Genomic DNA, 1,058 nt, shown 5'->3' with positions numbered 1-1,058 from the left:
TGGCGCTATTGCATCGCTGTGTATGGATGAGAAAACATAGTCACATTTCCAGATGGAGGACTGGAAAACAAGTATTTTAGGTGGAGAGAAGAGGAGGGAGGAGGAACCGTGAAGGCATTCACTCAGCGACACCCACAGGGTGCAATGGGCTAGGGACTGTGCTAGGCGTGGGGTCTACAGGACAGAAGCCACAGGGGTCCCCAAGCCGAGGAGCTTCTGACACTAAAGGGCATGGTGTGGCTGATGCAAGACAGGCTGGCGGCAGGGGACAGGAGCTGCCAGTGGGGAGGACTCACCTGGCACATTGAGGACTTGGACCTGTGCTGTGAGCCCCCCGAGGAGCCACCAGAGCAGGGGAGGGACGGCCAGCAGAGGGACAGCTTCCTCCCCACGCCCCTCCACCTCGGCAGCGTGGAGACAGCACGTTCCTTCTCTAATGGGAAGAACAAAACTGGTATTTACAATAAACGTTCAATAAAGCCCTGAGCGTCCCCATTCTGACTCTGGAAAAAAGCACAATCTATCCCGGGGGTGGGGACTGTGATATAAGGACTAGAATTAAGGCTCTGTGTCTGTGCTGCCTTTAGGACGGGTCTGCGGTCCTCTGACAACCCCATGGAAGGAGCGAGTGGGAGGTGAGATCCTTCCATGTAGAGGGCCCCACTCTGCCCAGTCCTCATCCTGGCCCCTCTGTGATCCAAGAGACAGTCGTCCAGAGCCAAGTGCCAGCCACAGCCAGGCAGGAGCCCTGATGTCAGGGAGTGCCAGGCTTCCCAAGGGGAGGACAGGCTTCCAGTCGTCAGCCCCAGGAGCCCTGTCCCTGCACCTGCCGGGGCTCACCCCAGCTGGCCTTGTCTTGCAGGTAACCTCTGCCCTCCCAACCAACCTGCTGCAGTGCTAAGCACCCTTCTCATGGTTTGTCATCTCTGCAGGAGCATCTGGAAAGGGCTCTTGCCCTTGCGGGATGGGAGAATTAGCCTTGGGAGAGCCTCACCATCACGGTGGCCATGGATTATCCCCAATCCCTGTGGTTTTTTTTGTTTTTTTGTTTTTTGTTT

The 1,058-nt window shown here is 56.7% G+C and overlaps 1 annotated feature.

Moving 5' to 3' along the window:
* Nucleotides 1-744: an enhancer, noted in NCBI's record as "H3K4me1 hESC enhancer chr17:75048917-75049660 (GRCh37/hg19 assembly coordinates)". NCBI's record gives its function as "activates a minimal SCP1, AML or CMV promoter by ChIP-STARR-seq in naive H9 embryonic stem cells {active_cell/tissue: H9 hESC(naive)}" and the evidence as "EXISTENCE:reporter gene assay evidence [ECO:0000049][PMID:30033119]".

The sequence above is a fragment of the Homo sapiens genome, chromosome 17 (genome assembly GCF_000001405.40).
Source record: "Homo sapiens chromosome 17, GRCh38.p14 Primary Assembly".
Taxonomy (NCBI): domain Eukaryota; kingdom Metazoa; phylum Chordata; class Mammalia; order Primates; family Hominidae; genus Homo; species Homo sapiens.
This window is presented reverse-complemented; position numbering and strand designations above follow the sequence as displayed.